This window comes from Homo sapiens, chromosome 10 (genome assembly GCF_000001405.40).
Source record: "Homo sapiens chromosome 10, GRCh38.p14 Primary Assembly".
Taxonomy (NCBI): domain Eukaryota; kingdom Metazoa; phylum Chordata; class Mammalia; order Primates; family Hominidae; genus Homo; species Homo sapiens.
In genome coordinates, this window is record NC_000010.11 from 55,666,928 (window position 1) to 55,680,872 (window position 13,945).

The 13,945-nt window shown below is 35.4% G+C and overlaps 1 pseudogene; it reads right to left on the reverse strand.

Moving 5' to 3' along the window:
* On the reverse strand, positions 211–1,493 carry GAPDHP21 (glyceraldehyde 3 phosphate dehydrogenase pseudogene 21; annotated as a pseudogene).

Below are 13,945 nucleotides of genomic sequence, written 5' to 3' on the forward strand. Positions count from 1 at the left end.
GATGTGTCTGAAACTCCTAGAACTATTATGGTAACTCTGGCATACAGAAAATGACAACATACAAAACATACACCTGAGGTTTTGATGATATTTTAAAATCAGAAATAACTTATAATGGTAAGGACCTACCTCCCAACATCTAAATAATATGAGGAAATTTTGTTCTCTATTTTCTTTTATTTGCAGCTGAAATTGTTCTCTTTGTTTGTTTGGCTGAGCACAGGGGACTTTATTGATGGTACATGACAAGGTGAGGCTCCCTAGGCCCCTCCCTCTTCAAAGGGTCTGCATGGAAACTGTGAGGAGGGGAGATTCTCAGTGTGGTGGGGGACTGAATGTGGCAGGGACTCCCCAGCAGCTGAGGGCCTCTTTTTGTATCTTGTGCTCTCCCTGGGGCTGGTGGTCTGGGGGTCTTACTCTTTGGAGGTCAAGTGGACCATGAGGTCTATCACCCTGTTGCTGTTGCCAAATTCATTGTCATACCAGGAAATAAGCTTGACAAAGTGGTTGTTGAGGGCAATGTCATTGCCCTCATTGACATTGAAAGCAGAAGAGTGGGTGTTGCTGTTGAATTCGGAGGAGACAACCTGGTGCTCAGTGTAGCCCAGGATGCCCTTGAGCGGGCCCTCCGATGCCTGCCCCACCACCTTCTCGATGCCATCATATTTGGCAGTTTTTCCCAAACAGCAGGTCAGGTCCACGACTGACAGTTTGGCGGTAGAGACACAGAAGGCCATGCCAGTGAGCTTCCCATTCAGCTCAGGGTGACCTTGCCCCTGTTCTTGACAGTGCCAGTAGATGCAGGGATGATGTTCTTTAGAGCTCCACGGCCTTCATGCCACAGTTTCCTGGAAAGGCCATCCACAGTCTTTTGGGTGGCAGTGACTACATGAAATGTGGTCATGAGTCCCTCCACAATGACAGTTGTCATGGATGACCTTGGCCAGGGGTGCTAAGCAGTTGGTGGTGCAGGAGGTATTGCTGACAATCTTGAGGCTGTTGTCATACTTCTCATAGTTCACGCCCATCACAAACACGGGGTCATCACTAGAGGCGGCAGAGATGATGACCTTTTTGGCTCCCCCTGCAAATGAGCCCCAGCCTTCTCCATGGCGGTGAAGACACTGGCGGACTCCACAACACATTTAGTGCCAACATCACCCCATTGGATTTTGGTAGGATCTTGGTCCTGGAAGATGATGATGGGATTTCCATTGAAGACGAGCTTTCCATTCTCAGCCTTGACTGTACCATGGAATTTGCCATGGGTGGAATCATACTAGATCATGTAGACTATGTTGTTGAGGTCAATGAAGGGGTCATTGATGGTGACAATATCCACTTTACCAGAATTAAAAGCAGCCCTAGTGACCGGGTGCCCAATATAGTCCAATCCGTTGGCTCTGGCCTTCACCTTCACCATGGTGTCTCAGGGAAGAGGCTGGTGGTGCATGAGAAGATGCAGCTGTCTGTCGAACCAGAAGAGCAGAGAGACTGAAATTGTTCTTAATGATTACAAGTACAAACCGAAATGCCTTAAATGATTTTAAAAGCTTTCTTGAATTATTAACAGTTCATTTCACCTAGGGGGCAGTGATGAGCTGGGGAAAAAAATGACCACATTGGTACAGTATACTGAAGTGCAGGTTGCCACTCTCACTCTTGCAAATAATTTTAATTGCTCTCCTAAATTGTCTGTCTTGGAAAAAAATTTTGAGTTGAATAAATTTCCAAATATTCATGTTTCTCTAGCAACTCACCAACAGCAATTCCAAATTGGTTGATTATATGTTGACATTCATTAAAATATTAGAAGAAAATTAAACATTTAAAATTTGGTAATTTGATATTTTTTACACCTGATGTGGTGTTGGCCTTCAATTTTTCACAACTGCTTAAACTAACTGCAGTTGATTCTCATTATTCACAGAGTCCATATTTGTAAATTCCCCTATGAGCTAAAGCTTATTTGTAATCCTGAAATTAATACTTGAGGTGCTTTTGCCATCATTTGCGAACATTCACAGAGCAGCAAAAAATTTGATTTGCCTGATATACAACACCTAAGGTAGAACAAGGTAACTTTCTGTCTTCTTGTTTCAATTCTCATATCCTAATCAGTGACATTTCTGAGCTCTCTTTGTGCAGTGTTCTTTGCACTATTTGGTTTTCACTAGTGACTTTACACCTTCAAATGCTTCTCCCCCTCAGCCTAGTGCTGAATTGCTTTCTAGTACTCCTGAGTGCAAGAAGACTGTGATCTGCTACATGGAGAAATCAGGTGTATTAGATGATCTCTGTTCAAGCACAAATGATAGTGTATTGGCTGTGAGTTCAATGTTAATGAATCAACAATAATTATTAAATAAGGTGTCTTTAGACTGAAGCACTCATAAAACAATGTTATGTGTTGATTGGTTGATGAAAATGTGTAGCCAGAGTGCACAGGACACTAACCCTGTATTTTCCATAGGGGCTTAGTATTCTCTAAGTCAGTGTTTTTGGTGAATTTATAGAACATAACTACTATGAATAGTGAAATTCACCTGCATGTGTGTATATATTATTTTGCATAATATTTATATACTGTGTATATATTATATTTTACATCTATATAAATCAATATATATAAATTTATCCTTTTAATAAATTAAGTTACATTTTGGACAAATATTGATGTTAGTTTCTAGTAAAGTTTTCCATCTTACATAGCTTTTTTCTATTTTTCATTTGGAGTTTTGATTAAACTACTATAATTCTATGGTGTTTCTATTCTAATTTATTACTGTACCGATTTACATATAAAGATATTCTGAAATTATAACACATTTGAATTCTTAGAGTAAACAATACTTGGAAATACACAGAATACATTTTACATAGATATTCATCAAAATATAGACGGCAAGCAGAAATATATGCAGATTATTACACCACTATATTAATTAATTACAATTTTCTTTACAAAAAACACAAAATCAATATTCAGATGAATAAGCAATATTAGTGAGACAACCAAAAGCCTCTGACATGCCCCTTCCCAGACACTACTCTACACCCAAAGTAGCTGCAATATTGTCATTTAAGACCACAGCTTGTGTTTACATTTATATAAATAAAATCACAGGGTATAAACATAAACTTCTAATGCATTTTTTGTTGAGAATTATGTTCTGGAGATTCATGCATATAGTTGCATATATTTTGTGTTTTTTAAATTGTAGCTCATCAGGAAATTCTTGAATCTTCTCTATCAGATACATAAGGGAAAGTTACCCAATTATCCATTTCATTCTCTTGTGTAACATTAAATCAAATTTAATGAGAATGAATCTTAGTCTACGGATTCAGTTGAGCAAGAACAGCAGCATTAACAAGTAAAATTTTATTTAACTCAAGTTCTAAATTAGTGCTCTCATTCTTCCTTGTCCTGTTTTATTGCATTATCCTAAGATAATTCAGCACATTACTAATGAGGAAAGGCTACATCTGAGCTTTAGTCACAGATCAACAAAGGTTGTGGCTCGAATGCCCATTATCCCTGTTCTATCTTACTCCTGTGCTCATAACCACTTATAGTTTGAAAATAACCTGCTAGTTCTGTGTCATGATTAGGGCACAGGAGGAGTTTTCTCTGACACTACCTATAATCCTCCATGTTCAATTGTGTTACATAGGAATTTCCCTTCTGACCTCATCAATCTCTCACAGTGATGCTAAGCACAACATACGCTACCTTTATATTAAAGACCTTTAGAATATTTCCTCTTATTTTTCTCTTCTTAACCAGTCAGACTAATATCCTTTCAATTTCATGATCATTTTTTGCCCTTCATGTGTTTTCAAGATATTGTGCTCTTATATCCCCTTCATTTTATCACTCTGCACACATTTTGAGGTCCTTTTGAACTTAGACATTTTGCTGGGAAAAGCCAGCAAGACATGAAGGCAACTTCATTTTGCTCTCCCACATGCTTCCTCTTAGATAACGAATTAGAGAACAATCTATGAATTTAAATGTGTGGATAAAATAAGTAATTAAATATTGTTAATAAGCATACATATTTTAAATCTTGAATTTTTTCTTATTAGCCCACTAAATTTTACTGAAGATACAGAAATAGGATAAAGACAAAAATTAATTGTGAGAAAAAAGCATACAAACTTACCAATGCTTTAAATCCAGGTGTGGAGACAACCTTTTGATAGCTTCTGGTGAACTTCCTGAGAAACGATGTTTCATCTGGGGTAAAGAGACTGGACTGAAGAGATGTGAAGGTAGTTTCTCACTCCAAACTCTGATTATTCCAAATATTAAATATTATTGCACCATCTGAATTATCAAAGCTCTCCAAATCCAAAACATTCTAGTAGATTCAATTGCTTCTTCTGAGAGTATATGTATTGGTTTTATAAAAGGTTAAGAGGAAAAAAAGAATCAGAGTAGATTTAAGCTAATGCTGTCATGTAGAATAGAATGCTGAGGTTCAAAAAGGGTGAATGACAAAACTGAGTCTAAAATATTAGCATCAACGGTATGGCTTTTTATATATTGACTTCCGTTTTGCTCCAAGGCAAAGCATTTTGAAATTATATTAATTGTGTGTAAGTTAACCTTTGAAGAATGTATTCTTAATTCTATATGTATTTTTTAAATCATGTTATATTATCTGAAGTTGAAAAACTTATTCTCAAATAGTTGAAACTTATTTCTTGCAGGTAGAAATCCATTCATTTAATTAATAAAATATTGAATAATTACTAATAGTTAATAAGCTAAAAATATAAGTGGCTATTATTATAAATATATCAGTTTAATACTATAACCCTAAATAATTTATCTCCTGAAATTCTAAAAAGATTTTTAGAAACAAAAAGAGTATCATATCTTAACTTCTTTATATCTGTTATCACATTTCCTAGGAAACCACATTATAAATATGCAATTTTAAAACTAACTTCCCTTAAGATACATATGTAAATGATATGGTTGCTAATCAAATCAGACTTCATCCATTATTTCTTGTTGCATAACAATTTAAAGCATAATTTTGTTTTATATATCAACAACATTTTCATTCTGGGAAATAGCTTCATAATATATACTAAGACCATATAAAATGAATTATTATTGCAACTAAGCGTGTACTGTGAAATGGCTTAGCAAAACACTAGCTTGCATATCATATTCTTGTCCTGCTTAACAACTGCAATAAAATAGAAATGATAAGGCCATAAAGAACAGTGTAGAATTAGAAACAGTAATCACTGTGCATTACATTACCATTTGATATGATGAACTGTAGCTTGCTGAGAGTAATCTTAATGAGGATTACAGTAGATATATTAAAATATATATGTGGCCTTCTATTAACAATAAGACACTCAAATGTATTTTTTTGCATCTATATTTCCATGCTACATTGTAAAGGCTGTTATTTTAATTAACAGGACTTTGAAAATCCATTTGATTAGAAATTTGAATGCCAAGTTAAACCATCAATAAAATTAATCAGAAACAACATACTGAGCAAATGCAGAAAATTTCAATGGTTTTCAATTTTTATTGTGAAGGCAAATTAAATTTAACTGAAAAGATGTATCATCATGTACTGACATTCAGAAAACTATCCAAGACTTAGCCATTGGCTCACCAGCTGGATAACTTGCTTTTATGAGCATCTATTCTCACAAGATGAGCAGGACATGCAGTTGTGTTTAAAAACTCAAGCAATCATATAATTAGTGCTATATATTTTCTGCCTTGCTATCAAAGAATCTAAATGTATCGTATTATTTAGGACTCTTTCAGTTAAATATGTCAGAGATCCTAATCTAACTAGGGCTAAAGTTTGAAGGAAAGGGATTGGGTTTTTGAAGGAAAGGGGTTGAGTTTCTCTTATTCTGTAGACTGCTTATTGATAATTTATTTTGCTGTGCAGAAGTTCTTTAGTTTAGTAAGGTCCCTGTGTTAGTTGGCTTTGTGTCACTATAAAGAAATACTTAAGGGTGGATAATTTATAAAGAAAAGAGGATTAACTGGCTCATGATTTTACAAGCTATACAAGAAGAAGCATGGTTCCAGAATCTGCTCAGCTTCTGCTGAGGGCTCAGGAAGCTTTCAGTCATGGTGAAAAGTGAAGAAGGGGCAGGATTGTCACATCGTGAGAGTGAAAGGAAGAGAGAGAAGGAAGAGATGTTATACATTTTAAAACAACCAGATCATGCATGAACTAACAGAACAAGAATTCACTCATCATCAAGGGGATAGTGCTAAGCCTCTCAGGAGGCATCCACGCCCATGACAATACCTGCCACTAGGCTCCACCTTAAACATTGGGGATTATATTTCAACATGAAATTTTGAGGAGACAAACATCCCAACAATATTAGTTCCACTTGTTAATATTTGTCTCTATTGGAATTGCTTTTGGGGATGCAGCCCCCCAATTTTTTGCGTACAAGGATGTGAAGAAGGGTATTGCCTAGGTTTTCTTCTAGGATTCTTATTGTTTGAGGTCTTACATTTAAATCTTTAATCCATCCTGAGTTAATTTCTGTATATGGTGAAAGGTAGGAGTCCAGTATCATTCTTCAGCTTGTGGCTATCCAGGTATTCCAGCAACATTGATTGAATAGGGGGTCCTTTCTCCATTTCTTGCTTTTCTCAGCTTTGTTAAATAGCAGATGGTTGCAGATTTGTAGCTTTATTTCTAGGTTCTCCATTATGTTCTATTGGTCTATGTGTCTGTTTTTGTACCAGTACCAAGCTGTATTGGTTAGTGTAGCCTTATAGCATAGCTTGAAGTCAGGTAGTGTGATACTTCTCTGGCTTTGTTCTCTTGGGTTAGGATTCCTTCAGCTATCTGGGTTCTCTTTTGGTTTATATGAATTTTGGAATAGATTTTTCTAATTCTGTGAAAAATGTCATGGTAGTTCGATAGGAATAGCATGGAATCTGTAAATTAGTTTAGGCAGTATAGCCATTTTAACAACATTGATTTCTTTAATCCATGAGTATGAAATGCTTTTCCCTTTATTTTTGTCATCTCTGACTTCTTTGAGCATTGATTTGTAATTCTCTGTGTAGAAATCTTTCACCTATTGGGCTATCTGTATTCCTAGGTATTTATTTTTTTATTTATGATTATTATAAATTGGATTGTGTACTTGATTTGGCTCTCAGATTGAACATTACTGGTATAGAAATATTACTAATTTTTGTACATACATTTTGTATCCTGGAAATTTACTGAAGTCATCTACCAGTTCTAGAAGCCTTTTGGTAGAGTCTTTAGGGTTTTCTAGGTATAGAATCATATCGTCAGTGAAGAGAGATAGGTTGACATATTCTTTTCATTTTTGGATGCCTTTTCTTTCTTCCTCTTGTCTGATTGCTCTGGCTTGGATTTCCAGGACTATGTTGATAGGAGTGGTTGGAATTGATATCCTTACCTTGTTCTGATTCTCAAGAGAATGCTTCCAGCTTTCACTCATTCAGTATGATACTGGCTATGGGTTTGTCACAGACAGCTCTTATCATTTTGAGGTTATGATAGCTCTTATTATTTTGAGGTATGCCCCTTTGATGCCTAGTTTCTTGAGGGTTTTGTCATAAATGTATATTAAATTGTATTGAAAGATTTTTCTGCATCCATTGAGATGACCATATATTTGTTTTCAATTGTTTATGTGGTGAATCACATTTATTGATTTGTGTATGTTGAACCTGCCTTGCATTTCATGAATAAAGCCCACTTGATTGTGGTTTATTATCTTTTTGATGTGGTGTTGGATTAAGTTTGATAGTATTTTGTTGAGGATTTTTGATCCTGTGTTCACAAGGGATATTGGTCTGAAGTTTTAGTGTTCTGTTATGTTGTAGCCAGATTTTGGTATCAGGCTGATTTTGGCTTCATAGAGTCAGGGGGGAGCCTCCCTCTTCAATTTTCTGAAGTTTTTTCAGTAGGAGTAGTATCTAGGTATCTAGATAGGTTGCTGGGTAAAATGGTACAACTATTTTTAGTTCTTTGAGAAATATCCATACTGTTTTCCATACAGACAATACTAATTTAGATTCCCACCAACAGTGTATAGGCATTCCTTGTTCCTCATAGCCTCACTAGCATCTGCTATTTTCTAACTTTTTATAGAATAGCCATTGTGACTGGTGTAATACTGTATCACACTGTGGTTTTCATTTGCATTTCTGTGATGATGAGTGATGTGGAGCATTTTTTCATATGTTTGTTGGTCACTTGTATGTCTTATTTTGAGAAATGTGTATTTATGGCGTTTGGCCACTTTTTAATAGGTTTATTTGATTTTCTTTTCTGGAGTTGTTTGAATTTATCCTAGATTCTGGATATTTGTACTTTCTCAGATGCATGGTTTGCAAGTATTCTCTTTCATTCTGGAGATTGTCTATTTACTATGTTAATTATTTCTTTTGATGGGCAGATGTTGTCTAGTTTAATTAGATGTGCAGAAACTTTTTGATTTCATTAAGTCCAATTTGTCTATTTTTATTTTTGTTGCATTTGCTTTTGCGATCTTAGTCAAAAAGTTGTTGCCTAGGCCAATGTCCTGAAGAGTGTTTTCTAGGTTTCCTTTGGGGATTTTTATAGTTTCAGGTCTTACATTTAAGCCTTTAATCCACTGTGAGTTAATTCTGCATATGGTAAGAATTAGAGATCCAGTTTAATTCTGCCACACATGGCTATTCAGTTTTCCCAGCACCGTTTACTACATATGGTATCCTTTCCCACTGTACATTTTTTTTTTTTTTGACGAAAGTCAGTTGGTTGTAGGTATGTGGCTTTATTTCTGGATTCTCTATTCTGTTACATTGATCTATGTGTCTATGCTCATATCAGTACAATGCTGTTTTGGTTACAATAGCCTTGTAATATAATTTAAAGTTAGCTAACGTGATGCATCCAGCTTTGTTCTTTTTGCTTATGATTTCTCTGGCTCTTTACGTTCTTTTTTGGTTCCATATGAATTTTAGGATTTTTTTTTCTAATTCTATGAACAATAGCATTGGTAATTTGATAGGAATTGCCTTGAATCTGTAAATTGCTTTAAGCAGTATGGTCATTTTAATAATATATCCTTTTAAAAAGTGAGCGTGGGATGTTTTTTTCATTTGTGTCATCTACAATTTCAGCAGTGTTTTGTGGTACACATTGAAGAGCTCTTTCATTTCCTTGGTTAAATGTATTCCTATGCATTTTATTTTATTTTGTGGCTATTATAAATAGGATTGAGTTTTTTTATTATACTCTAGTTCTAGGATACATGTGCAGAATGTGCAGGTTTGTTACATAAGCATACACATGCCGTGGTGGTTTGCTACACCCATCAACCAGCCATCTACATTAGGTATTTCTCCTAATGCTATCCCTCCCTTAGTCCCCCCACCCCTGACAGGCTCTGGTGTGTGATGTTCCCTTCCTCGTGTCCATGTGTTCTCATTGTTAAACTCCCACTTATGAGTGAGAACATGCGGTGTTTGGTTTTCTGTTGCTGTGTTAGTTTGCTGAGAATGATGTTTCTAGCTTCATCCATGTCCCTGCAAAGGTCATGAACTCATCCTTTTTTATGGCTGCACAGTATTCCCTGGTGTATATATGCCACATTTTCTTTATCCAGTCTATCATTGATGGGCATTTGGGTTGGTTCCAAGTATTTGCTATTGTGAACAGTGCTGCAATAAACATACGTGTACATGTGTCTTTATAGTGGAATGATTTATAATCCTTTGGGTATATACCTAGTAATGGGATTGCTGGGTCAAATGGTATTTCTGGTTCTAGATCCCTAAGGAATCACCACACTGGTTTCCACAATGGTTGAACTAATTTACACTCCCACCAACAGTGTAACAGCATTTCCATAGTTAGGGGTGAGTTCTTGATTTTGTTCTCAGCTTTAATGATCTTGTTTTATGAAAATGCTACTGATTTTTATATGTTGATTTTGTACCCTGAAGTCATCATTTTCAAGTTTAGGAGTCTTTTGGAGGAGTGCTTAGGGTTTTCTAGGTATAAGATTATGTCATCTGTAGAAAGAGATAACCTTATGTCATCTTTTCCAACTTTGATGCCTTTTGTTTCTTTCTCTTGACTGTTCGCAATGGCTAGGACTTCCAATACCACATCGAATAGGAGTAGTGAAAATGGGTATTTTGTCTTGTTCTAGTTCTGGGAAATGCTTCAACTTTTCCCCATTTAGTGTGATGTTTGTTGTGGCTGCTTTTGCTGTATCCCAGGTGTTTTGGTATGTTGTGCCTGTAGTGTAACTCATTAACTTTTTTTTATTTCTGCCTTAATATTGTCATTTACTCAAAGATCATTCAGCAGCAAGTTGCTTAGTTTTCATAAATAAATAAATTTGAATAGCTTTTTTTTTTAAACAAATCCTCACGCTGTCATCCAGGCTGTAATGCAGTGGCATGATCTTAGCTCACTGCAGCCTCAATCTTCTGTGCTCAAGTGATCCTCTGGCCTCAGCTTCGCAAGTAGTTGGGACTACAGTCATGTGCCACCATGCCCAGCTAACTGTTTTTAAATTTTCTTGTACAAAAAAGTACAAAATGATGGGGTCTTGCTAGTCTAAAACTCCTGGCCACAAGTGATCCTCTCAGCTCAGCCTCCCAAAGAACTGTGATTATAGGCATGAGTCACCATGCTCAGCCACATTTGTGGAGTTTTGAGAGTTTTTCTTGGTATTGATTTCTAACTTTATATCACTATGGTCCAAAGAGATACTTAATACAATTTCATATTTTTAAAATTTATTGAAACTTGCCTTATGGCCAAACATAGTATCTATTTGGGAGAATGTTCCATGCACAGATGAGAAAAGTGTATATTCTAAAGTTTTTGAGTAGAATGAATGGTAAATGTCTGTTAGGTACATTTTGTCTAGAATCTAGTATAATTCCAGTTTCTTTGTTGATTTTCTGCCTTGTTGATCTGTCTAGTGCTGTTACTAGTGTGTTGAAGTCTTTTGCTATTATTGCATTGCTGTTTATCTCTTTTCTTAGGTCTAGTAGTATTTGTTTTAAGAATATGGGTGCTCCTGTGTTGCATGCATATATATTTTTAGGATAGTAATATCTTGTTGAATTGAAATTGTCATTATTGTATATTGACTTGCTTGTCTGAACTCAACCTCCAGGCTAACAGTTGGCTCTGATAGCCAAGAGCTGCCTGTGGCACAATCAGATGGGTATGAGCTTGATCTTTCTTTAATAAGATGTGCTCTCTGGTGCTTCAGGTGATGGGTTGGTCTGTAGAATGCCCAGTGACCTGAGTTCCCTGTTCAGTCCATGGTCAGGAGGACAAAGCTGGGCAGAGTCATACCAGTGAGCTTTCCCATAAATGTCCCAATGACAAGTGTAGGCACCAGTCCTCTTAGGGGTGGCTGGGGGAAATCCTGGTGAAATATGCTGAGGTCACCTCAGAAGGAGGAAGGCAGCACCGATTCCACTTTTTCTAAAAACGTTTTTGTGTAAAGCAATTTCTCTTTCCTCTGAAACACCTATGGAATTTGAATATCTCTAATACCTTTAGTTACACTGTAGTCCTTAACATCATCTCCACTAATTCTATAATCTTCATAATCATTCAGGACTTGAACAACTGCCTGTATTACTTATGATGTAGCTCCCTATATAAGGCCTTGAATATTCAATACAAGATTGATGAATCAACGAAAGCATTAACCAACTGAAACATTGATATTTGTAAGATGGTATTATTCTTTATATATTCTTACTATGTGGCATTGTGGTTAACTTTTTTTTTTTTTTTTGAGACGGAGTCTCGCTCTGTCACCCAGGCTGGAGGGCAGTGGTACGATCTCAGCTCACTGCAAGCCTTGCCTCCCAGGTTCACACCATTCTCCTGCCTTGGCCTCCTGAGCAGCTGGGACTACAGCTGCCTGCCACCATGCCTGGCTAATTTTTTGTATTTTTAGTAGAGACAGGGTTTCACCGTGTTCGCCAGGATGGTCTCAATCTCCTGACCTCGTGATCTGCCTACCTCGGCCTCCCAAAGTGCTAGGATTACAGGCATGAGCCACGGCGCCTGGCCTTGTCATTAACTTTTTTAAATCAACATTTTATTCTTTTAAAATATCACACGAAATTTAGAAGTCTGCTTCTCTCTGCAATTAGTTCAGTACTTTACTTTTTACCTTTTAGCCTCTTACCTGACCCATCAATCCTGCTGTAATCAGATTTAAGTCTTCTCTGGCTACAGAACCCAATATACACTAAATGTTAACATCTCACAGGTATTCAGCTACTTCAGACAACATATTAAAATGACAAAACACAATCACTTTTGTCTACATTCTAAAATTCACTTGATATAATTGAATTGTAGAAATAAAGGTGAAAACACATTCAGTACATGTTACATCAAAGAAATGTAGAGAAATTTAATGAGTATTGGACAGTACTTTCAAGGAAACCTTAGTATGATTCAGAGAAAATGTTTACTATTTGGACGTAGTGACCTAAACGAAATGCTCGCTTTTTTGATGCCTGCTCTTTATCCTATGTCATGTCACCATTGTTATCAGAACAGCACTTATTTATTGCTCATCCAGAAAAAGATACAATTAACATTGACAACTTAAAATATATGTCCTTCTATTTTGCACAGTAAATTTTGCAAAATACGCATTACTCCTTTTATGTCAATGGTTTCTGAACTCAAACTAGTAATCTGTCATTTTAATGACATTTGAGCTGTCAAAATAATAAGCATTTAATATAAATATTGAAGCTGCTGCTAGAACCCTAAAACAAAGGATTGCTGTAGCAGAATAATTTTCAAAACTCAGATAATAGATATAATAACATACACAGACCAAAAAACAACATTTGGAATTTTTTTCTTGGAAAACAGGGAGGATGTATAAACAGGATAAATCCAAGGTTGATAGTCATAAAGAAGGCTATGTAAACAATTACTTTTATTAAAATCGAGGCTTTAGATGTTAAAGGTGAGAAATAAAGATGAAAGTATCATATAATTTATGACCATAATGCAATATCACATAAAAGCTGTGTATGAAAGATAAAATTATTGTGTAAAAAGAACTAATTAAAATTTTATTTTACCAAGTTTAAACTGAGATACCAATTTAGTCTTCACTAATTTACTGGTTTTTTATTTATTTCACTGCAAAAGGGGTTAAAAATCCCTACATTGCTCCTTCATAGAAAGATTGTACATGCCCAACTCAATATATAGGGAAATGTTTTTAGGCTGTATAAAAGCAAGATACTAATTTTTATTTCTCAGATAGCAAATATATATATATATATAGCTACAATAATTCAGTAGCAATTTCAAGAATTAAAATTTAAGCATAGCTATCTATAGCTTATTTTGCTTATTTTCTTTCAAGTAGTCAGGTAATTTTACAAATAGCATATTTTTCCTAATAATTTGCATTAATTGAAAGAATTTTGAATAACATTTGTAGTATTGTTACATTCTATTGTTGTCTAACATATTTCTGATCATGTGAAATCTAACATAGAATATGCAAATCAATTAAATCTAAAATTTCTGTATTTACTGTGAGTAAACAAAAAATATTTCTCTGAAAATTTTTACAGTGCTTACTGAATGAGTACTATTTTCATTAAAATAAAATCAGTTTTCTGCTGCTGTGTGTAGCAGAGAAACTGGTAATAGGCTAGATCTGCTATAAACAAGTGAGAAACTGGATAAACCACTTTCTGATATTATACAAGAGACATTGAATGATGGGAGCCATTGACGAAACAGAAAGTTACATGGTGAGCCCACGGATAATTTCAACTTTTAAAGGTTTATTTTATTGTTAATTAACACATAATAATGGTAAAAGCTTATAGAGTATGTCGTGATATTTCTAACATGTATACATTGTATAATGA